The sequence below is a fragment of the Homo sapiens genome, chromosome 15 (genome assembly GCF_000001405.40).
Source record: "Homo sapiens chromosome 15, GRCh38.p14 Primary Assembly".
In the NCBI taxonomy this organism is placed as follows: domain Eukaryota; kingdom Metazoa; phylum Chordata; class Mammalia; order Primates; family Hominidae; genus Homo; species Homo sapiens.
In genome coordinates this window covers 99,367,973-99,391,423 of record NC_000015.10, presented here as the reverse complement: position 1 = coordinate 99,391,423, position 23,451 = coordinate 99,367,973, and the positions used below count along the sequence as shown (strand labels likewise).

Here is a 23,451-nt window from a genome sequence, read left to right as displayed (position 1 = left end):
TAAATGCCACTAAGGGAGTTTTCTTACTGTGCTACATCTCCAAGTCTGTGCTAAGGGCTCTGGGTGCATGTTGGAGCACCCCTTCAACACTGAGCCAGGAAGACGACAGGAAGGAAGCTGCCTTTGGCCTCACTTTCTGCTTGTGTGTCAGGGTCAACCGATGGTGACAGCTCAAGATGTTCTTAAGTCTTTCCTGAGCAGGAGTATAACCCTTGGCATATGCAAAGCTCTACACATACACATGACCATCTGAATTCCCAAGAATACCAGAGCTTTTCAAGGTCCCTATGGACATCTCATTCCCAAGCTTTTCCTTTTACGTTTTTGGTTAGCCTATTGTCTGCTCCAAAGCTTAGCCACCACTTGAGGCAACCACAAAATTAACCAATTGCCTCTGAGTCTCTCTTGACTAATGTCCCTGGGAAAAAGGCTTTTCACACCTGGCAAGCTCCAATCCGGTAAAATAAAGACAGTCTTGCAAATGAGGTCTTCCAGGGACCTGCCTGCCAGGTCAAATAATGACAATTCTCTGGGAATGAGGCTTTGAAGGAGTTCTAACCCCATTCTGCCCCCTCTAGTGGCTTCCAGGCTGCTACTTTTCACCTTCATTGTATACTGTTGGTTTTCAAGGATACAACAGAGACGGAAGGGGGAGATAGGAATAGGGCAAGTTAAAACACCACAAAACTCGTTGTTCGTATCGAGATTCAGCCATTTCTCTTGAATAAATACTCCACCATTGACATTCTGAGCATTCACATGGTTCAAGCTCAATTATTCTATAAACTGCAGTAACTGAGAGAGGCAACCAAATTGGATAAAGTATGAGTTTTTAGCCACACTCCAAATGAATGTTGCCATAATTTTTCAGAGGCCTGGATTTCATTATGTATCTATTTTAAAAATCTTGGATCATTTAGACTCAAAAATCACAATAAGAAACAAAACCTGATATTCTTTAACACAGGTAGCAAAGATAATCCACACTTGAGTGGAAAAAAGTCTGGCTAACCCTTGAAAGTCTCTTAATTACATACAGAAATAATCTCCGAATGCTACACCTTCTGCCCATCCACCACACTCGCTGCCAGTACCTTCTGTCTCCAAAGTACAAGGGGACCACACATACAGTCATACTTCAAAGGCTGTGAAGCAAGCTCTTTTCCTGACCGAGAGAATGTCAGTCACTTGGCTATGATCAATTCCTTTCCTAGAGACACCGGCATCACTTTCAGATCTATTAGCTGATGACACAAGGAGGTAGCTCCTCACTGTAGGCACAGTGAAACTTGAATGATTTTTTTTTGAGACGGAGTCTCGCTCTGTTGCCCAGGCTGGAGTGTAATGGCGTGATCTCAGCTCAATGCAACCTCTTCCTGCCGGGTTCAAGCAATTCTCCTGCCTCAGCCTCCCGAGTAGCTGGGACTGCAGGTGCGCGCCACCACGCCTGGCTAATTTTTTGTATTTTTAGTAGAGATGGGGTTTCACCATGCTGGCCAGGCTGGTCTCAAACTCCTGACCTCAGATGATCTGCCCTCCTCGGCCTCCCAAAGTGCTGGGATTATAGGCATGAGCCACTGCCGAGACTTGATTTTTAGATAGACATAGAGCTAGTTTCAAAAATACAAACTTTATAAAAACCCCCTTTGTTTGAAGAAAAGGCAAGATATTCACTGAGTTTCTGGGAAATGTAGGAGAACCTCAATAGAAGCAAGCAGGAGTGAATGAAAACCACAAAAATGAAGGCATAATAAAACAGGCAGGGTAATGTAAGGATCCATTTAAAGAAGAGTCTTAAAGAGAGTGTGTTTATGAGTCTGTGAAATGAATTTACATCTCAAATTTTATCAGGTTGCAACATTAGTGTTGGTCCAGTTAGAAATCCATGTTCATAAATCATCTTAATAAAAATGTTTTTATTTATGCTGAGGCAATGTATTGTGTTTAAGTACTTTATAGCAAAGATTAGAATTTCTGATTTTTCATTCAGGAAAGGGAAAAACCTTTACTACTACTAATTTTAAAAATTGGCTTTGAAAGTCCCCACAGACTACAAAATAGTTACATATTTTAGAGAAAATTATATGCAGAGCCTCATAAGCCAACTGGTATTGAAGCCTTTTTTTCCCCCTAGACTGTAAAGATTTTAATTCGTAATGCTCAACGTAAAACAGAAGTGAGAGGTACATTACACTAGTCGGACAAGCTGGAATGTGAAAGGTCTTAGTGAGGCACGGTGACCAAAAGATGTTTAATGTACACCTCACTTTTCCAGAAGAGAAGGGTCAGGTAACAAAGAAGTTCATCACTCTTATCCGTTAGCCAGAGTGGATCCTCCACCCAAGCCAGGGTTCTTTTGAATAGGGATCATTTAATTATTATGTATTTTAAGAATGTGCTCAAAACATGTATTAACTGAAGATGCAGCATTTCATCCACACAATGTTATGTAATTAAGGTTTTTGGTATGATAACAATTGGACATACTGAAGAACACTGATAGGGTAATCCACTAAAATCGGCCCCCTTTGCACTACTTCATAGGAAGGCCTATGCTCATGAGGCTATCCTGGACTTTAAAACTTATCGCTAACCACACAAGAGTTCACTGAAGTAAACTTACCTGAACAGAGATGATACTTTCCAAGTAGCTCACTTTTTTTGCATTACTATTATTGTGTGAATACTTTTCTACCTAGTGTAACTGTTGCTCAAGAAAACAACATATATAATAACTTCAGATTTGCTTTTCTGCAAAGCTTTGGACACAATTCAAATATATAGCATGTAGGCAAATTTTCTCCAGTTGGTAAGACTCCTTTATAGTATCAAAAGATTAAGAATGACATCGATAAATCCAGCATAAAATTTCCATAATGAACAGCACCAGGGAAACCACTTAAGTTCCACTTCTCATCAATTAAGTTCAGGTGCTGTACCCAAGGATTAAGGTTGAGACTGCCCAAAGGTTGTCTGCCCAGCCCACTGCTGTTGTTTAACACACCGTAGTTCATAATAGGTAGAGAAAGAATGCCTGGATTGTAAGCATTTTTGTAAAATTTCAAACAAGGTAAAACTAATGTATCACCTTATCACAATGAGAATCCTGAATACCAAGTTAGCACATTTCATAGCTCCATTCCATGACATATGATTGTAGAGGATGAAATAGAAAAATGTAGCAAGACATTTACTGTCACTTAAATCATAGGTAGCAGTCACTTAGGCCTGAAGCACAATTGTGAAGTTTCATGCCACATTTTCACCAGCTAACTTATATACATGTAGAGGTTATGTTAAACTTCAATTATTCCAAAGGATGAAAGTGTTACATTTTGATACAGATCTTCAGTTCCTATTTTACTATAAGCCTTTGAAATGTTAAGGCTGAATAGACCAAGATATGAAAAGGGACAAGAGGAAGTAAGAACAGTGCAGATACAGTGGGAACACACGGTAACTTTCTGCCTTCTCCATTCTACGTGGACGGTGTGCTTTCCGGGCAGCAGGTGTTGTGACTGTAAAAAGATCACACATTTGTCAGTAACTATGTAGGATTTTTGGCACTGTTAAGAGCGTAGCATTATAAAGTCAGGGCAGCTAATAAAAATTCCCTCAACCAAATTTTTGATAAGTCTGAAATTAAAAAAAAATAATTTTTCTACCAAGCAAATTCTTGGTTCTCCATTCAGCCCTGCCTTTTAGAAAACTTACATCATTAAAAAACATTTTAAAAAAAGAATCACTTCACAGCAAGCAGATGAACATCTGGCAGCAAAGCAACATTAAAATGCCATCCTTTGAAAGGAAGAGCAAATACGTGACTTCTTCATGAAGAGTTCTTTCTGGCAGGGTGGAGGCTCACAGACTTTCTGTTTATGGACTTTTGCAGAAGTCGAAGGCTGAATTTGGACCTGCTTTTCCTGTATTTTCTCAGTTGCATCTGGGCAGTAAGCTAAGTATACAAGAAACGAGGGCCAACATGAAGACAGTGTGGTGCACCAGGTGACGAAGTAAATGTGCACGGGCTGTACTTTGAATCATCCTGTTAAAAACCAGTAGTGGGCCGGGCGCGGTGGCTCACGCCTGTAATCCCAGCACTTTGGGAGGCCGAGGCGTGCGGATCACGAGGTCAGGAGATCGAGACCATCCCGGCTAACACGGTGAAACCCCGTCTCTACTAAAAATACAAAAAATTAGCCGGGCGTGGTGGCGGGCGCCTGTGGTCCCAGCTACTTGGGAGGCTGAGGCAGGAGAATGGCGTGAACCCGGGAGGCGGAGCTTGCAGTGAGCCGAGATCCCGCCACTGCACTCCAGCCTGGGCGACAGAGCGAGACTCCGTCTCAACAACAACAAAAAAAAACCAGTAGTGGAAGTAGCTGAAGCCTTTCACATGTGACAAAAATATTTCAAAGTCAGTATAAACTGAATCATAAACCCATCAAAAAAGAACACGGAGGTCTTATTTCAATGTGTGTTTTCTCCCCCTTTCTCATTGTATGGAAACTTTATATTGAGAAAGAAAAAAATCAGATCTTGTAAAGCTTCAAATATTCCTCAAATTCTTCTCATATAAAAAAAATCTTATCAGGAAATTTAAAAACTTCAAAAATCATTTTTCTGCAAACACTTTTAAAAAACAGGAAGTGTATTTCATTACAATCTACATTTTTGTTTTTAAAATCCCTCACAAAAGTCTGTTGCTACACTGTAGAACGTATAAACAAGGCTGGAACTTTCCAGAGGGTGTGTGCTCTGGGACCCTCACTGAGCCTCCATGGGAGCCTCACTTTGCTGCCAACTCAGGCGCCCCACCCTGCTACTCAAGACCATTGAGGCCACGGGGTTTGCTGAAACTCCTCAAAAACTGACAAGTTTCCACTGGAGACACTGTGGAGAACATGGTCTCAGGGAAATAACTCTCTGGGGAAAGCAAGGGAGGGGAGAGGAGAGGAAGCATCACTGAAGGTATGTGTGTTCAAAAGGGAATCTGGCTAGATGATCAAGTCACTGTTCTCCAAGGACCGGAAACTTGCTTTAAATTAGATTTGGGGAGGCCCATCAATCTAAATGGTTTCTGTAAAAGACACACTCACATAAAAAGGAAAAACACAGAAGACAAATGGGTCCTTAATTTGGGGGAGGATATATTCCAACTTGGGGGAAGGGTGAAGGCATTTTAGCTCTGAAGCTCAATCATGACATTTCTAGAGAGTTCTGCAGTGCCCCCGCATTGGACAGGACAGGATGGAAGAGTGTGCTGGACTGGCTGGATTCCCCAGTGTCAAGCTGGCAGCGCTCCTGAGGTTCTTGAGTGTTTATCAACTCAGCAGGTCAAAAGTCTGCAGACACTGGGTGGAGCAGCAGTAAGCCACAAAACTAACAGTTGTCTTCCTGGAAGGGGAAAAAGGGAGAGAAGAACGCTGTGAGTTCAAGATTAAAGTCTCTGATTCTTTCTGCTGGAAACTTTTTTCTTTGTTAAAATGGAGGATTAGCCATGGTCAACAAACTGCATAATAGAAATTTAAATTTCCTTTTCAAACTGAGCACTGGAATCAGGTGAAGTATGTACATGTGAATGTTCATTTTATTTATTTATTTTTTGAATGTTCATTTTAATAGCAGCGTTCAGAAGATATATTATCCCTAAAGTAGAAACTAAGAAAAAAAAAAAAAACAAATGCCTTTTCCACATTACGTTTCGAACTCTGCTTTCTAGAACCAACAACGCAATCACAGAATTGAAGTCCATTATAAAAATCATGTAACAGAAAATGTCTCCAATTTAGCCAGAACACATATATACCACAGAGCTTAAACAACATAATTTTAAGGAATTTATCCTACAAATGTACGCATACACATAGGTTGCTCGTAGAGGTCATTTCAGAATCTGAATAATACAGTTCAAAGGTCTTCCCACATATCAGAGGTTTGGGCACCTTTGTGCGTGAGTCATGAGCCCCAGGGGGCCTCTGACCCACTCTGGACAGCTCCAGCTATTAGATGCCTTGTTTTCCTGCCAGAAGTGCTATCCTCTGGTAGAGGGAGAAGACTCTCTTGTTGTTTCCACAAGACCCCCTGTGCTGATTGTTTTCTATTTCCTCACCCCCAACACAGTCCGCCTTTCCCTGTGGCCCAGGAAGGGGACCTCTGTAGACTTTACCAGCAAAGTTGCCTCAACTCTAGCTTCTGGTTAGGCCAGCGAGAGGCACCAGCAGGAGGCACCAGCAGGGGGCTGAAGGGCAGGAAGAAGGAAGGTTGAGTATTTCCACCCCACTCCCTCTCTACCTCTGGGACTGGAGCTCCTATCAGGCAGGCCCCCTTTGCTACCTCTGGTTCTCGCCAGGCTCCAGAGAGAGCTCCCTTTGCCCTTCAGGCCCAAGGATTAAGCATGGTAAGGGCTTCCTACTGCTGTGAGTCCCTGCGTGCCTCAGTATCCTTCTGGGTGCTCTCCACCCTGCCCAAACTTCAGCCAATTGTCCTTCTTCATTAATTTCTCTTCAAAGTCTCAGCCAAATGTGCATTTTGTTTTCCAGCCCTGATGAATACAGTATGTGTTATGAGAAGTGGCCCAACGAAGCAGCTCATCCAAGTGAGATTCTGAAGTTGGGCTGGCGAGTACACGAATGGCTTTCTTACTAGAGAGAAGTGGGACCCTGCTAATCTGTAGCATGTGGTGGCATCATGGTTACTCAAATATCACTGGAACAGAAGGTAACAGGAGGGAAAGGCATTGGGAAAGCAAGTGGCTGTGGCACTTGACTGCTATGGCATCACGGTGATTCCAAGTTTGTGGGGTGAGATGGCTTCTTTTGACTGTGCTGAAGAGATTCTGAAACGAAAACAATAAGCTTAGTGCCTTGAGATCTCAACTCAAGGCATGGACAGAGAATCAGAAAGTTTTTATGGTGGCCTTAAGTGAATCCTTATTTTATGAAGCTGCAAGGGACATGGCTGAGGCTAAATGTAGAGGTTTCAGGATCACATGCCAGATAAAGATATATTTATGCTAAGTCTCTTATGCTAAGGTAAAAGGTGCTGTTGAGAAAGAGTGGGAACTTGAGACTTGATATGGGAGCCTCTAGACAGGCACAAATCTAAGAGCCTTGACTCCCTAGCATCTCTAAACATTTCTTCATATCAGAAACAGACCTTTCCACCTTCTACGAAAACTAGCATTCCCTTGGGTAAAAATGTTTCAATGGCTTCCCCTGGGGTGGTTACCTAAAAACTTTTCAGGACCCACCACCATCAATACTCATCGCCTCTAGGGCCAAAAAGGGTAAAATCCTAGCATGATCCAGAGATCATTGAAAGGTCTACTCCTGGAGGAAATCACATACACGCTGATGGAGTTGCAGGATCTTGTCAAATTATATTAGCAGGAACCTGGAGGGCACGCATGGAAACGGATTCTAAGTACATTGGCCAGCAAGAATGAATGTAAGATTGGATCAGGCCAACAGGGGTACTTCACCTATACCTCAGAATATGATACATTAAGCACCTGGGAATGGTTAACAGAAGCCTTGACTCATTGCAGGCCAACAGCTAATGAGACAGCTATGCTAGACTCCCCTTGCAGATTCTAGAGGGAGGATAAATGGGAATGCAGAGAGGACCCAGGGTGGCGGACCCTGCTCAGCCACCTCCTGAAAATCTCCAGGAGGGCCAAGAAGTCTTTTTCTTCCCTAAGCCTAAATGTATTTGCAAGGGGGAATACAAACTGGAAGTAGCAAGCACCCTTGATGCCTTCATAGATATACGATTATCAGAGGTGAGAGAGAAAAATCCTGCAAGAGTTCATATGCCTACTACATCAGTGCAGTTTCAAATGGAAAAGAAGAGTTGTATCCAGAACTGCCCACTACAGAGAAACAGACACACACTTGGTGGATCCCTCTGGATTTTGGGGGAAAATATATTTAGGTGGAACTTCTGGTTCTGCCAAGATGGGGTAGGCCCCATTCTTCCCAGGTCTTCCCCCCTCCACCTGAAACACTCTGGACAAAATACAACAAATAAGCACAGGCAAGCTTTGAAAGGGAGAACCAAGGCAGACAGCCTAGGGACAGTGGGACTTGAGGAACAACGCAGTGCTGGCACGTTCCCTGGGTACCTTATTGCCCTCTATATCTTAAATAGGATGCTGTAGAAGCCTCCAATCCAGAATCAGTAACAGGCACAGATGCAATTGGCTCCAAGTAAAGCCCATGCCCCCAAGCCAAAGGCCAGAGACAGGAAAATCTACAGAGACAGAAAGTAGATAAGCCTAGGGCTAGGTATGATGGGGACAGAGGGACAGGGGCAAGAGCTAAATGTTCAGGGTTTCCGTATGGGTGAGAAAATGTTCTGAAATGGATTAGGGTGAGGGTTGCGCATATCGCTGAATGTACTAAGAAACACTGAGTTGTATACTTTAAATGGGTGAAATTGTATGATACGTGAATTATCTCAATAAAGCTGTTAAGAAATAAGAGAGATGAAAGGAGAAATAGATAAATCCAAAAATAGAATTGGGGACTTCAATACCTTACTCTCAGCAACTGATATACTAGATAGAAAATTAGTATAAGTATAGAAAAACTGAATAACACAACAAATTAAAAATCTGACATATACAGAACACTATCCAACAGCAGCAGAATCTACGTTGTTTTTTTCAAATGCCCATGGACCATATACCAAGTCACAGCTGAGATTTGCCCACCTGGACAGAGCTGCTAGAGCCATAAACAGGTAGGAACACTTAAATGAGAATGTTTACAAAATCTGGGCATAAAACCACACCTTAAAAAATTTAAAAGATATCAGACAAATTATGTTCTCAAACTACAATGGAATTAAACTAGAAATCAATAAAAGATAGCTGGAAAATTCCTAAATATTTTGAAATTAAACAACTTAATTCTAAATATCTAGGTGAAAGAAGAAATCTGAAGAGAAATAAAACAAATTTTCGGCGGTTCCAAGATGGCCGAATAGGAACAGCTCCAGTCTACAGCTCCCAGTGTGAGAGATGCAGAAGATGGGTGATTTCTGCATTTCCAACTGAGCAAACGGCACACCAGAAGATTATATCCCATGCCTGGCTGGGAGGGTCCCATGCCCACGGAGCCTCGCTCATTGCTAGCACAGCAGTCTGAGATCCATCTGCAAGGTGGCAGTGAGGCTGGGGGAGGGGCACCCACCATTGCTGAGGCTTGAGTAGGTAAACGAAGCAGCCAGGAAGCTCGAACTGGGTGGAGCCCACCGCAGCTCAAGGAGGCCTGCCTACCTCTGTAGACTCCACCTCTCGGGGCAGGGCATAGCCAAACAAAAGGCAGCAGAAACCTCTGCAGACTTAAATGTCCCTGTCTGACAGCTTTGAAGTGAGTAGTGGATCTCCCAGCACGGAGTTTGAGATCTGAGAACGGACAGACTGCCCCCTCAAGTGGGTCCCTGACCCCTGAGTAGCCTAACTGGGAGGCACCCTCCAGTAGGGGCAGACTGACACCTCACACAGCTGGGTACCCCTCTGAGATGAAGCTTCCAGAGGAACAATCAGGCAGCAACATTTGCTGTTCAGCAATATTTGCTGTTCTGCAGCCTCTGCTGCTGATACCCAGGCAAACAGGGTCTGCAGTGGACCTCCAGCAAACTCCAACAGACTGGCAGCTAAGGGTCCTGACTGTTAGAAGAAAACTAACAAACAGAAAGGACATCCACACCAAAACCCCATCTGTAAGTCACCATCATCAAAGACCAAAGGTAGATAAAACCACAAAGATGGGGAAAAAACAGAGCAGAAAAGCTGAAAACTCTAAAAATCAGAGCACCTCTCCCCCTCCAAAGGAACACAGCTCCTCGCCAGCAACGGAACAAAGCTGGATGGAGAATGACTTTGACGAGTTGAGAGAAGAAGGCTTCAGAAGATCAAACTTCTCCAAGCTAAAGGAGGAAGTTCGAACCCATCGCAAAGAAGCTAAAAACCCTGAAAAAAGATTAGACGAATGGCTAACTAGAATAACCAATATAGAGAAGTCCTTAAATGACCTGATGGAGCTGAAAAACATGGCGCGAGAACTACATGACAAATGCACAAGCTTCAGTAGCCGATTTGATCAACTGGAAGAAAGGGTATCAGTGATTGAAGATCAAATGAATGAAATGAAGTGAGAAGAGAAGTTAAGAGAAAAAAGAGTAAAAAGAAACAAACAAAGCCTCCAAGAAATATGGGACTATGTGAAAAGACCAAATCTACGTCTGATTGGTATACTTGAAAGTGATGGGGAGAATGGAACCAAGCTGAAAAACACTCTGCAGGATATTATCCAGGAGAAATTCCCCAACCAAGCAAGGCAGGCCAACATTCAAATTCAGGAAATACAGAGAACACCACAAAGATACTCCTCGAGAAGAGCAACTCCAAGATACATAATTATCAGATTCACCAAAGTTGAAATGAAGGGAAAAATGTTAAGGGCAGCCAGATAGAAAGGTCGGGTTACCCACAAAGGAAAGCCCATCAGACGAACAGCGGATCTCAGCAGAAACTCTACAAGCCAGAAGAGAGTGGGGACCAACAGTCAACATTCTTAAAGAAAAGAATTTTCAATCTAGAATTTCATATCCAGCCAAATTAAGCTTCATAAGTGAAGGAGAAATAAAATCCTTTACAGACAAGCAAATGCTGAGAGATTTTGTCACCACCAGGCCTGCCCTACAAGAGCTCCTGAAGGAAGCACTAAACATGGACAGGAACAACTGGTACCAGCCACTGCAGAAACATGGCAAATTGTAAAGACCATAGATGCTAGGAAGAAACTGCATCAACTAACAAGCAAAATAACCAGTTAACATCATAATGACAGGATCAAATTCACACATAACAATATTAACCTTAAATGTAAATGGGCTAAATGCTCCAATTAAAAGACAGACTGGCAAATTGGATAGAGTCAAGACCCATCAGTGTGCTTTATTCAGGAGACCCATCTCATGTGCAGAGACACACACAGGCTCAAAATAAAGGGATGGAGGAAGATCTACCAAGCAAATGGAAAACAAAAAAAGGCAAGGGTTGCAATCCTAGTCTCTGACAAAACAGACTTTAAACCAACAAAGATCAAAAGAGACAAAGAAGGCCATTACATAATGGTAAAGGGATCAATTCAACAAGAAGAGCTAACTATCCTAAATATATATGCACCCACAACAGGAGCACCCAGATTCATAAAGCAAGTACTTACAGACCTAGAAAGAGTCTTAGACTCCCACACAATAATAAGGGGAGACTTTAACACCCCACTGTCAACATTAGACAGATCAACGAGACAGAAAGTTAACAAGGATATCCAGGAATTGAACTCAGCTCTGCACCAAGTGGATCTAATAGACATCTACAGAACTCTCCACCCCAAATCAACTATACATTCTTCTCAGCACCACATCACACTTATTCAAAAATTGACCACATAGTTGGAAGTAAAGCATTCCTCAGCAAATGTAAAAGAACAGAAATTACAACAAACTGTTTCTCAGACCACAGTGCAATCAAACTAGAACTTAGGATTAAGAAACTCACTCAAAACTCCTCAACTACATGGAAACTGAACAACCTGCTCCTGAATGACTACTGGGTACATAACGAAATGAAGGCAGAAATAAAGATGTTCTTTGAAACCAATGGGAACAAAGACACAACATACCAGAATCTCTGGGACACATTTAAAGCAGTGTGTAGAGGGAAATTTATAGCACTAAATGCCCACAAGAGAAAACAGGAAAGATCTAAAATTGACACCCTAACATCACAATTAAAAGAATTAGAGAAGCAAGAGCAAACACATTCAAAAGCTAGCAGAAGCCAAGAAATAACTAAGATCAGAGCAGAACTGAAGGAGATAGAGACAGAAAAAACCCTTCAAAAAATCAATCAATCCAGGAGCTGGTTTTTTGAAAAGATCAACAAAATTGATAGACTGCTAGCAAGACTAATAAAGAAGAAAAGGGAGAAGAATCAAACAGATGCAATAAAAAATGATAAAGGGGATATCACCAGCGATCCCACAGAAATACAAACTACCATCAGAGAATACTATAATTAACACCTCTACGCAAATAAACTAGAAAATCTAGAAGAAATGGATAAATTCCTGGACACATACACCCTCCCAAGACTAAACCAGGAAGAAGTTGAATCCCAGAGTACACCAATAACAGGCTCTGAAATTGAGGCAATAATTAATAGCCTACCAACCAAAAAAAGTCCAGGACCAGACAAATTCACAGCTGAATTCTACCAGAGGTACAAGGAGGAGCTAGTACCACTCGTTCTGAAACTATTCCAATCAACAGAAAAAGGGAATCCTCCCTAACTCATTTTATGAGGCCAGCATCATCCTGATACCAAAGCCTGGCGAGACACAACAAAAAAAGAGAATTTTAGACCAATATCCCTGAAGAACATTGAGGCAAAAATCCTCAATAAAATACTGGGAAACCGAATCCAGCAGCACATCAAGAAGCTTATCCACCATGATCAAGTGGGCTTCATCCCTGGGATGCAAGGCTGGTTCAACATATGCAAATCAATAAATGTAATCCATCATATAAACAGAACCAAAGACAAAAATCACATGATTATCTCAATAGATGCAGAAAAGGCCTTCAACAAAAGTCAACAGCCCTTCATGCTAAAAACTCTAAATAAATTAGGTATTGATGGGATGTATCTCAAAATAATAAGAGCTATTTATGACAAACCCACAGCCAATATCATACTGAATGGGCAAAAACTGGAAGCATTCCCTTTGAAAACTGGCACAAGACAGGGATGCCCTCTCTCACCACTCCTATTCAACACAGTGTTGGAAGTTCTGGCCAGGGCAATCAGGCAGGAGAAATAAATAAAGGGTACTGAATTAGGAAAAGAGGAAGTCAAACTGTCCCTGTTTGCAGATGACATGATTGTATATTTAGAAAACCCCATCGTCTCAGCCCAAAATCTCCTTAAGCTGATAAGCAACTTCAGCAAAGTCTCAGGATACAAAATCAATGTGCAAAAATCACAAGCATTCTTATACACCAATAGCAGACAGAAAGCCAAATCATGAGTGAACTCCCATTCACAATTGCTTCAAAGAGAATAAAATACCTAGGAATCCAACTTACAAGGGATGTGAAGAACCTCTTCAAGGAGAACTACAAACCACTGCTCAACGAAATAAAAGAGGACACAAACAAATGGAAGAATATTCCATGCTCATGGATAGGAAGAATCAATATCATGAAAATGGCCATACTGCCCAAGGTAATTTATAGATTCAATGCCATTCCCATCAAGCTACCAATGACTTTCTTCACAGAATTGGAAAAAACTACTTTAAAGTTCATATGGAACCAAAAAAGGGCCTGCATTGCCAAGACAATCCTAAGCCAAAAGAACAAAGCTGGAGGCATCATGCTACCTGACTTCAAACTATAATACAAGGATATAGTAACCAAAACAGCATGGTACTGGTACCAAAACAGAGCTATAGACCAATGGAACAGAACAGAGCCCTCAGAAATAATGCCACACATCTACAACCATCTGATCTTTGACAAACCTGACAAAAACAAGAAATGGGGAAAGGATTCCCTATTTAATAAATGGTGCTGGGAAAACTGGCTAGCCATATGTAGAAAGCTGAAACTGGATCCCTTCCTTACACCTTATACAAAAATTAATTCAAGATGGATTAAAGACTTAAACATTAGACCTAAAACCATAAAAACCCTAGAAGAAAACCTAGGCAATACCATTCAGGACATAGGCATGGGCAAGGACTTCATGTCTAAAACACCAAAAGCAATGGCAACAAAAGCCAAAATTGACAAATGGGATCTATTTAAACTAAAGAGCTTCTGCACAGCAAAAGAAACTACCATCAGAGTGAACAGGCAACCTATAGAATGGGAGAAAATTTTTGCAATCTACTCATCTGGCAAAGGGCTAACATCCAGAATCTACAAAGAACTCAAACAAATTTACAAGGAAAAAACAGACCCATCAAAAAGTGGGCAAAGGATATGAACAGACACTTCTCAAAAGAAGACATTTATGCAGCCAAAAAACACATGAAAAAATGCTCATCATCACTGGCCATCAGAGAAATGCAAGTCACAACCACAATGAGATACCATCTCACACCAGTTAGAATGGCGATCATTAAAAAGTCAGGAAACAACAGGTGCTGGAGAGGATGTGGAGAAATAGGAATACTTTTTACACTGTTGGTGGGACTGTAAACTAGTTCAACCATTGTGGAAGTCAGTGTGGCAATTCCTCAAGGATCTAGAACTAGAAATACCATTTGACCCAGCAATCCCATTACTGGGTATATACCCAAAGGATTATAAATCAAGCTGCTATAAAGACAAATGCACACGTATGTTTATTGCGGCACTATTCACAATAGCAAAGACTTGGAACCAACCCAAATGTCCATCAATGATAGACTGGATTAAGAAAATGTGGCACATATACACCATGGAATACTCTGCAGCCATAAAAAAGGATGAGTTCATGTCCTTTGTAGGGCCATGGATGAAGCTGGAAACCATCATTCTCAGCAAATTATCACAAGGACAGAAAACCAAACACCACATGTCCTCACTCATAGGTGGGAATTGAACAATGAGAACACATGGACACAGGAAGGGGAACATCACACACCAGGGCCTGTTGTGGGGTGGGGGGAAGTGGGAGGGATAGCATTAGGAGTACATTAGGTATATACCTAATGTAAATAATGAGTTAATGAGTGCAGCACACCAACATGGCACATGTATACATATGTAACAAACCTGCACGTTGTGCACATGTACCCTAGAACTTACAGTATAAAAAATTTTTTTTCAACTAAATGAAAATAAAATACTAGTCATCAAAAAGTAATAGGATGCAGCCAAAGCAGTACTTAAAGGAAAACTTACAGTACTAAACACACATACTAGAAAAGAAAGGTCTAAAATCAATAACTCATATTTCTACCAGGAAACTACAGAATGAAGAACAATTTAAGTTTAAAGCAAGGAAAAATCATAGAGTATGTTCTTTGACTATAATAGAATCAAACTAGAAACCAATAACAAAAAGACAAGAGGAAAATCTTCAAACACATAGAAATTAAACACCACAGTTCTTTGACCCATGGATCAAATGACCACACTTCCATAGGTCAAAAAGGAAATCTCAAAGGAACTTAAAACATACACAAACTGAAAGAAGATGAAAATACGATTCAAAAATCAAAGATTTTGGTACATAGCTAGAGACAGTAGTGCTGAGGGAAATTTATAGTACTAAATGCTTACATTACAAAGAAGCCTAGATTATTGATTTGAGACTTTTCCTCTTTTCTAGTGTAAGTACTTAGTGCTATAAATGTCCTCTTTTAGCTTTTAAAAACCTAAAAAAAGGACAAAATAAGCCCAAAGCAAGCAGAAGAATAGTAAATAATAAAGAGGAGAAACCAATGAAATCAATCACTAGGATTATGAATAACAATAAAACTGATAAATCTTGACCAAGACTGACAAAAAGAGAGAACACACGAATTAATATTAAAAATGAAGGAGGTGATATCACCACAGATCCTACAGCCATTAAAAAGATGTATAGGAATACCAGGGACAACTTTATACTAATAAATCTGACAACTTCAAAGAAACAGACCAGTGTCTAGAAAACTACAAACTACCAAAACTCAACTGAGATGAAATAGACAACCTGAATAGTCCTACAACCATTAAATAAATTGAATTTATAATTTAAAAAAGAATACAAACTTCCCTGCCCAGATAGTTTCACTGGAGAATTCTAACAAAGAGTAAAAAGATAAATTTTTGAAAAGTTTTACACAATTTCTTCAGGAAAAAGCAGAAGAAGAAGAACACTTCCTAACTCATTTAATAAGGCCATTATTATCCTGAATCCAGAACCAGACAAGGATAATACAAAAACAGAAAATTACAGACCAGTATCTTTCATGAACAAAGATTTTAAAATCTTCAACAAAGTATTAACAAATTAAAGAAATGTACAAAAAGAATTACACATCATGATCAAGTGGGAGTTATTCCAGGAGTGTGAGGCTAGTTCAATATTTGATAATCAGTATCACCCACCATATCAACAGGCAAAAGAAAAACCATATGATCATATCAATGGACTCAGAAGCAGCATTTAACAAAATAGAACACTTTTCCTTGATTAAAACTCTCAGCAAACTACATAGAGAGGAAATCTTCCTTAATTTAATAAAGAGAACATACCAAAAACCCCTGCTTATCAGTAGGGTTAACACATTATACTTAACAGATTAAAATTATATTACACTTAACACATTATATGTATTATTATAGTTAACACATTATACTTAACAGTGAAACACTGAGTGTTTTCCCTTTAAGACTGGGAACAAGGCAGCTGGGTGCGGTGGCTCATGCCTGTAATCCCAGCACTTTGGGAGGCTGAGGTGAGCAGATCACGAGGTCAGGAGATCGAGATCATCTTGACTAATACAGTAAAACCCTGTCTCTACTAAAAAAAAAAAAATTTAGCCAGGCGTGGTGGTGGGCGCCTGTAGTCCCAGCTACTTGGGAGGCTGAGGCAGGAGAATGGTGTGAACCCAGGAGGCAGAGTGAGCCGAGATCATGCCACTGCACTCCAGCCTGGGCGACAGAGTAAGACTCCATCTCAAAAAAAAAAAAGAGATTGGAACAAGGCAAGGATGTCTATTTTCACAACCTTAGTCAGCATAGTACTCAAAGTCCTAACCACTGCTATAAGGCAAGAAAAAGAAATAAAGGCATACAGATTGGAAGGGAAGAAATAAAACTATTCCTTAGCAGACAGCATGACATGATTTTCTATGCAGAAAATCCCAAGGCATCTACAAAAAATACTCCTAGAACTAATATGCCAGTTCAGCAAGGCTGTAAGATATACAGTCGAAATATGAAAATCAGTAACATTCCCAGATGCTAACAATGAACACATGGAAATTGAAATTTTAAAACACAGTATCATTTACAAGCACACAAAAAAGTGAAATATTTTGATATAAACTTAGGAAAACGTTTAATGATTTATATGCTGAAAATTATTTAAGATGCTGACGAAAGAAGTAAAAGACCTAAATAAATGGAGAGACGCATCATGTTCATACATTAGAAAACTCAACATAGCATATATGTCAACCGTTTCCAAATTAATCTATAAAGTTAAAGCAATTCTTATGAAAATCTCAACAAGGCTTTTTGGAGACAAAGATAAATTTATTCTAAAAATCAGTGGAAAAGTGTAGGGCCTAGAATAGCTAAAAAAATCCTGAAAGGGAAAAGCAAAGTAGAAGTATCACTCAACCTGATATTAAGGCCTACCATAATCTAAACTATAGTAATTAAGACAGTTTGCTATTGACTAAGAGATAGACACAGATCAAGTGAATGGAACAGAGAATTATAATACAATTATATTAACAGAGATTTATATAGGCTTCATGACCTTGGGGGTAGGTAAAGATTTCTTAGAACACAAAAAGCATTACTATAAAATTGAAATGGATTAATTTAACTTTATCAAAACAGAAGACTTGTTTTCAAATGACATCTTTAGGAAAGCGAAAAGGCAAGCATCACTTTTGAATTTTTTTCTTAACTCAGGAAATTCTGTAAATTTTGAGTTATTAGATACTTTTGCATTACCTCTAATTTTAAAAAATTAAAGTTGGCTGGGTAACGGTTAATGGGTACAAAAAGTAATCAGAAAGAATGAATAAGACCTAGTATTTGATAGCACAACAGGGTGACTACAGTCAGTAATTGTGCATTTTAAAGTAACTAAAATTGTATAATTGCATTGTTAGTAATACAAAGAATAAATGCTTGAGGGAATGTGATTTTCATGATGTGATTATTATGCATTGCATGCCTGTATCAAACATCTCAAGTACCCCATAAATATATATATCTACTATGTACCCACAAAAATTAGAAATGAAAAAAATTTTAAAAATAATTTTTTTTAAAAAATGAAGTTGGTTAGAACCCTAGTTCCAATAATTTTTATGCTACACCAGGATGTATACATTTGAATAAATCACAATTGAAAAGAACCACAGACATAAAAAGTGCATTTTGGGGGATTCGCTGATGAAACTTAACACAAGGAGCAAAAGATAATTATGTTAAATGCAAATCATTCATACAAGGGATACATTTCATACCACAGCCATTTAGTTTTTAAAAATAAAGCTCCTCATATGGTTTAGCTGCGTCCCCACCCAAATATCATCTTGAATTGTAATTCCCATAATCCCCATGTGTCGTGGGAAGGACCCGGTGGGAGGTGATTAAATCATGGGGGGGTGGTTACCCCCATGCTCCTGTTTGCGTGATAGTGAGTGAGTTCTCATGAGATCTGATGGTTTTATAAGGGTCGTTTCCCTCTTTGCTCAGCAGTTCTCTCTCCTGCTGCCATGTGAAGGACATGTTTGCTTCCCCTCGAGCCATGATTGTTAAGTTTCCTGAGGCCTCCTCAGCCATGTGGAACTGTGAGTCAATTAAACCTCTTTCCTTTATGAATTACCCAGTCTTGGGTATTTCTGCACAGCAGCATAAGAACGGACTAAAACAGCTCCCAAGCAAAAGCATTCAATTCCATGAAGATACGGGATTTACACTCATTAAAGGATAATGTCCTTTGGATCATCATTAACTACTTATGAAGCTCACGGGGGTGGAGTAACCTGGAGGTTTCATATTTGTGCAACAAATAAATCCCAAGGCTGTGTACTTATTTGCTTTTGGGAGACTCATCTAATAACATATTGTATCTGCTTGTTGTATTAATAATCTGAGTTATTACAAGTACACCAACCAATCTGCTGCCTTAAGAATGGATTCATGTTGGTTAAGTCCTTTAAAATCCAGAACTGTGGCACCAGAGACATCAGAGGTCTGGGGAAACACTTTGAGCTAAGCAATAAGCTCTACAGTTAAGAAAAAGATGCTGATAAATTCTACAAAGAACATCAGACATGACATTTGTTGCTTTAGAATCTTTGAGCATATTTACAGGCAAGGCAGAAGAAAGAGCATTTCAGCTTGGTTTTAAAATACAGAAATACCACTATTCCTTAAAAGAACGAATCACAATGCTGTTGGCACATATTGGAGCCCACAAAAATCATAAGAAATGTGCGATTTTTTCTGCAAATATGTTTCCTGATTAAAAACACAAAGCATATATTTGACTCGTACAGGAAGTCAAGCCAAAAGAAAAAATAGTATTTATAAGACAAAGTTAAAATCCTGAGCTTGTGTACATATTAACTTACTCAAGAATCATCTAATAACATATTGTATCTGCTTGTTGCATTTATGTTAGTAGTGACTGTCTCTCATGGGAAGATTCTGTGTGCAGAAACAGAAACAGAAATGTCAAGCAGACTTCTTTCTTGATTGTGTCATTGCCCTAGACATTAGGAATGAGATATGTATGAGAAAAGAATTAGGTGGTGGGGTCAAAGCAGAATTTTCAGTACCTACTGCAGAGCACAGCCCATGACAGATGGTCAACAAATAATTTTTGAATGTTGTAAGGAGGAAGAAACAGCTAAGAACAATTTACTTAAATTTTTGAAGACTATTTCACTTGTGGGAAATTTCATAAGTCACCTTAAGAGGGTGCCAACGAATAGGCTTCTGCCAAAAGGAAAAACAAAATCCCCAAAATGAGTATGCAAATAATGTTGGTGTGACTGATATTACTTGGCTTCAAAGAAGCAATAGCCACAAAAAGCAAGGGTAAGGAAATATGAAACATTTCATAAGTGAGGAAACCAGATAAGAATTATATAAAAGAGCTTATTTTAAAAATAAACTACTAGTGAGTGGGAGAAGGGAGTATTAGTTGTTTTGAAAGACAAAAGGAAACTGTAAGACCAAGTCAGTTTTGCAGGCCCTCTAACAAACAGGTCTTTACCTCAAGGCACAACAATCACTCAGACATGTGGCACTCTCATAGAATCACTCCGGCCCAGAAGACCAAGAATTCCTGAAAGAACCAAGCTATGTAAATCTGAGCTTGAAAGTGGCCTGATTGAAGCCCATGGAGCCCTCACCTACCACAGCACCCGGCTGGCAGTAGATGTTCGAAGTGTGTTTGCTAACCAACTGGATAAATTAATAAACAAGAGGATGAGTCTTTTGAGTTACTTGGAAGTAACCTGAAAATTTTTTTTACAAGAAGCCATTGGCATACTAATGTTTTGTTTTTGTTTTTGAGAGAGTCTTGCTCTGTCACCCACCCTGGAGTGCAGTGGCGCGATCTCAGCTCACTGCAACCTCTGTCTCCCAGGTTCAAGCAATTCTGCCTCAGCCTCCCAGTAGCTGGGATTACAGGCACTTGGCATACTAATGTTTTAATAATTAAAAATATTTTTAATTTCTAAAGCAAATACCAGTTTGTTACAAAAATTTAACACTACTCAAAGGAAACCACTGTTACTTTGGTGTATGAGTCCTTCCCAAGACTTTTTCTATATATACACAATTGTTTCAATATGTGTGTATGTGCATGTATTTACTATATATGTGCACATAGATATACACATATATTCACACCTATAATTGCTTGACAAAGACTGGATCACACTATGCAATCTTTTATGTAACTTGCTTAATAACATTTGTAATTGAACAAAAAAATTTGCCATAACAATCTTTCCTTTTCTTTTTTAATATGTATACAGTTTTAGGCAAAGGGCTTTTTCAATGCCTCTAGAAATAATTTTTTTTCAAATATTGTTTTGTAGATTTGTAAAATTATATCCCAAGTATATGGAGTTGAAAATGAAAGTTCTCCTTCCACCTGACTACCTCATAACTCCACATTCCCCCCTTCCCAAGATACTCATAGTAAAGAGTTGGAGCTCCATCCTTCTGGACTTTTTAGTGCAAACACCCAAACCATACACACACACACGTGTGCATGTGTGTATATGTACATACGTACACATACACATATATTTCGAAAGTACCTTGTTCATAATGTTAGAGAATATTTAATTTTGTATTTATGAGTTTATGAGTTGAAAGTATATTTAAACTCATTATTTACAAGTTTATTTATTTCGAGATTTCTCTATGCTAATATGCTGGTCCACTTAGTAGCTAATTGAACAGCACAGTGGCTAAAACACAGATTTGGAGCCAGACTATTGGGGTTCAAATCCCAGCTCTGCTATGACACCTTGGCCCAGTTTGCAATCTTCCTGTACCTGTTTGCCCTGTAAAAGGGATATCACAGGTTGGACCATACGCATATGACTTGTATGATTCAACTTAATGATAGTACCTATCTTACAGTACTAAGAAAAGTAAAATAGCTCAACTTCCAAACTAGATCTCTTTATCCCCAGGACTACTGGTTCTTCCATTGCACGCCATGGCTTATTACACAAAAGCAGAGATAACACAGCAATAAAGCCTGAATGCACTCTGTACTACCCGTTATGGCTAAAGCTTAACCCAGCAATATGGGAAGAACCATTGGGTTACCGGCCTACCTACAGTTCCTGTCTCAAAATACCCTGGTGATTAAAGTAAGACCTTTTAGTTAATTTTATGTGTCAACTTGGTTAGGTTATGGAGCCCATTTGTTTGGTCAAATACTAGCCTAGCTGTTGCTGTAAAGGCATTTTTTAAAGATATGATTAATATTTAAATCAGTACACTCTGAGTTGAGCAGATTACCCTCCATAGTGTGGGTGGGCCTCATCCAATTAGTTGAAGGCCTTAAGAGCAACAAAGTAGAAGGTATTCTCCCTAAGACTGCAATAAAGAATCCCTGCCTAAGTTTCCAGCCTGGTGCCCCGCAGAATTCAGACTCAACACTGCAACTTCAACTCTAACCTCAACGTCCAGGCCGCCAGTCTGCCCCAGTTCTGAACGCGCCAGCCTTTGCAATTGTGTGAGCCAATTTCTTAAAATCAGTCATTCTCTCTCTTTCAATGTGAGAAATTTTGCTATCAGGAAGTGGGATGCTGCTGTGACAAATACCTAAAAATGTGGAAGTGGCTTTGACATGAAGTAATGAATAGAGGCTGGAAGAATTTTGAGGTGAGTGATAGAAAAGAGATTATTGGGAGAAATAAAGAAGAATCTAGTGAGGGCTCACAAAAGAAAGGCAGGAGCTATAAAGTTTCTAATGTCTTAGAAAATACATTGTCAGGAACAGAATGTTGCTAGAAATAAAAATGTTAAAGATGCTTCTGGTGAGGTCTCAGACTGCAAATGAGGAATGTATTATTGGAAACTGGAAGAAAGGTGATCCTTGTTATAAAGTAGCAAAGGACTTGAGTGAATTGTGTTCTGTTGGATGGAAAGCAGAATTTGTAAGTGATAACTTGGATATTTGGCTGAGGAGATTTCTAAGCAAAGTGTTGAAGGCACAGCTTGGTTTCTTCTTGCTGCTTATAGATGTGAGTAAAATACAAGAGGAGAGAGATGAATTGAGCACATTATTATTAAGCATAAGGAACCAGAACTTGAAGATTTGGAGAATTCTCAGCCTATTCATATTGTAAAACATGAAAGAGAACACCAACAGTGTGGCTGGACAATGGTTTGCAAACAGATTAGGTATGTGACTTCTGGATCATCAACTATTTCAGCAAAAATACTGCTAGCTTGTACTGAACAGGACAGAAATGGGATGAGATGAAGAAATGCTGTCAGACTTCTGGGATTTTAGGCAGGATGGCCAAAAGAACTACCTAGATGCAAACATATGTTATACTTAAAGAGAAGAAAAAGCCCAAGGGTAGGGCAACCTTCTCAATTCCAGGGGCAGGGCAACCTCTTTGGTTCATCCAGGACTAAGGGGGTGTGATTGCCACCCCACTGGGCCCAGAGAACAGAGTGTGGAGCCAAAGAGGATTATTCTTAAGCCTTAAAATCTAATGGAATTTCACCTTCTAGATTTTAGACTTGAGACCTGTGACCCCTTTTTTTCCTTCTAGCATTCTCACTTGTGGAATAGGAATGTCTATCCTATTCCTGTCCCAACATTACATGCTAGAAGCAGATAAATTGTTATCTGGTTTCATAGGTTCATAGCTGGAGAGTTTTGCCCCAGGATGAATTATGTCCTGACCCATACCTGATTTAGATATTTAAGATGAGATTTTGAACTTAAGGGTTGATGCTGAAATAGATTTAGGACTTTCTGGGCATGGGATGGGGTGAATTCATTCTGCATGTGAGGACATGAGTTTTGGGGGATGTGGTATTGTGAAATATATATTTAGTCTTAGACCCTGTTTCCTGACATATGGCTCCTAAAACTCTGAAATCTCCTAAGTGATTAGAGTATCATTCATATGCTAATGAGACAACTGGTGGCTTGGGAAT

The 23,451-nt window shown here is 39.7% G+C and overlaps 1 protein-coding gene across 20 annotated transcripts in view, besides 1 other annotated feature; it reads right to left on the bottom strand.

Annotated features, from left to right (window-relative positions):
• Positions 1-694: 694 nt before the first annotated feature.
• Positions 695-23,451, bottom strand: part of LRRC28 (leucine rich repeat containing 28) — a 139,249-nt gene continuing 116,492 nt past the window's right edge. For 18 of the 20 annotated variants that reach the window (NR_135755.2, NR_135759.2, NR_135757.2 and 15 more), the window contains one exon: positions 695-5,394. Coding sequence is in view for 13 of the 20 variants with exons in the window: in NM_001321675.2 (NP_001308604.1) it covers positions 5,322-5,394 (73 nt within the window). In the remaining 7 variants the exon portion in view is untranslated. Of the gene's footprint in view, positions 6,836-23,451 lie in introns of all 20 variants that reach the window. The other 2 variants (XM_011521220.3, XM_047432145.1) reach the window with 2 other exon arrangements.
• Positions 19,619-19,678: an enhancer, noted in NCBI's record as "active region_10151". NCBI's record gives its function as "activates an Ori minimal core promoter by ATAC-STARR-seq in GM12878 lymphoblastoid cells {active_cell/tissue: GM12878}" and the evidence as "EXISTENCE:reporter gene assay evidence [ECO:0000049][PMID:35858748]".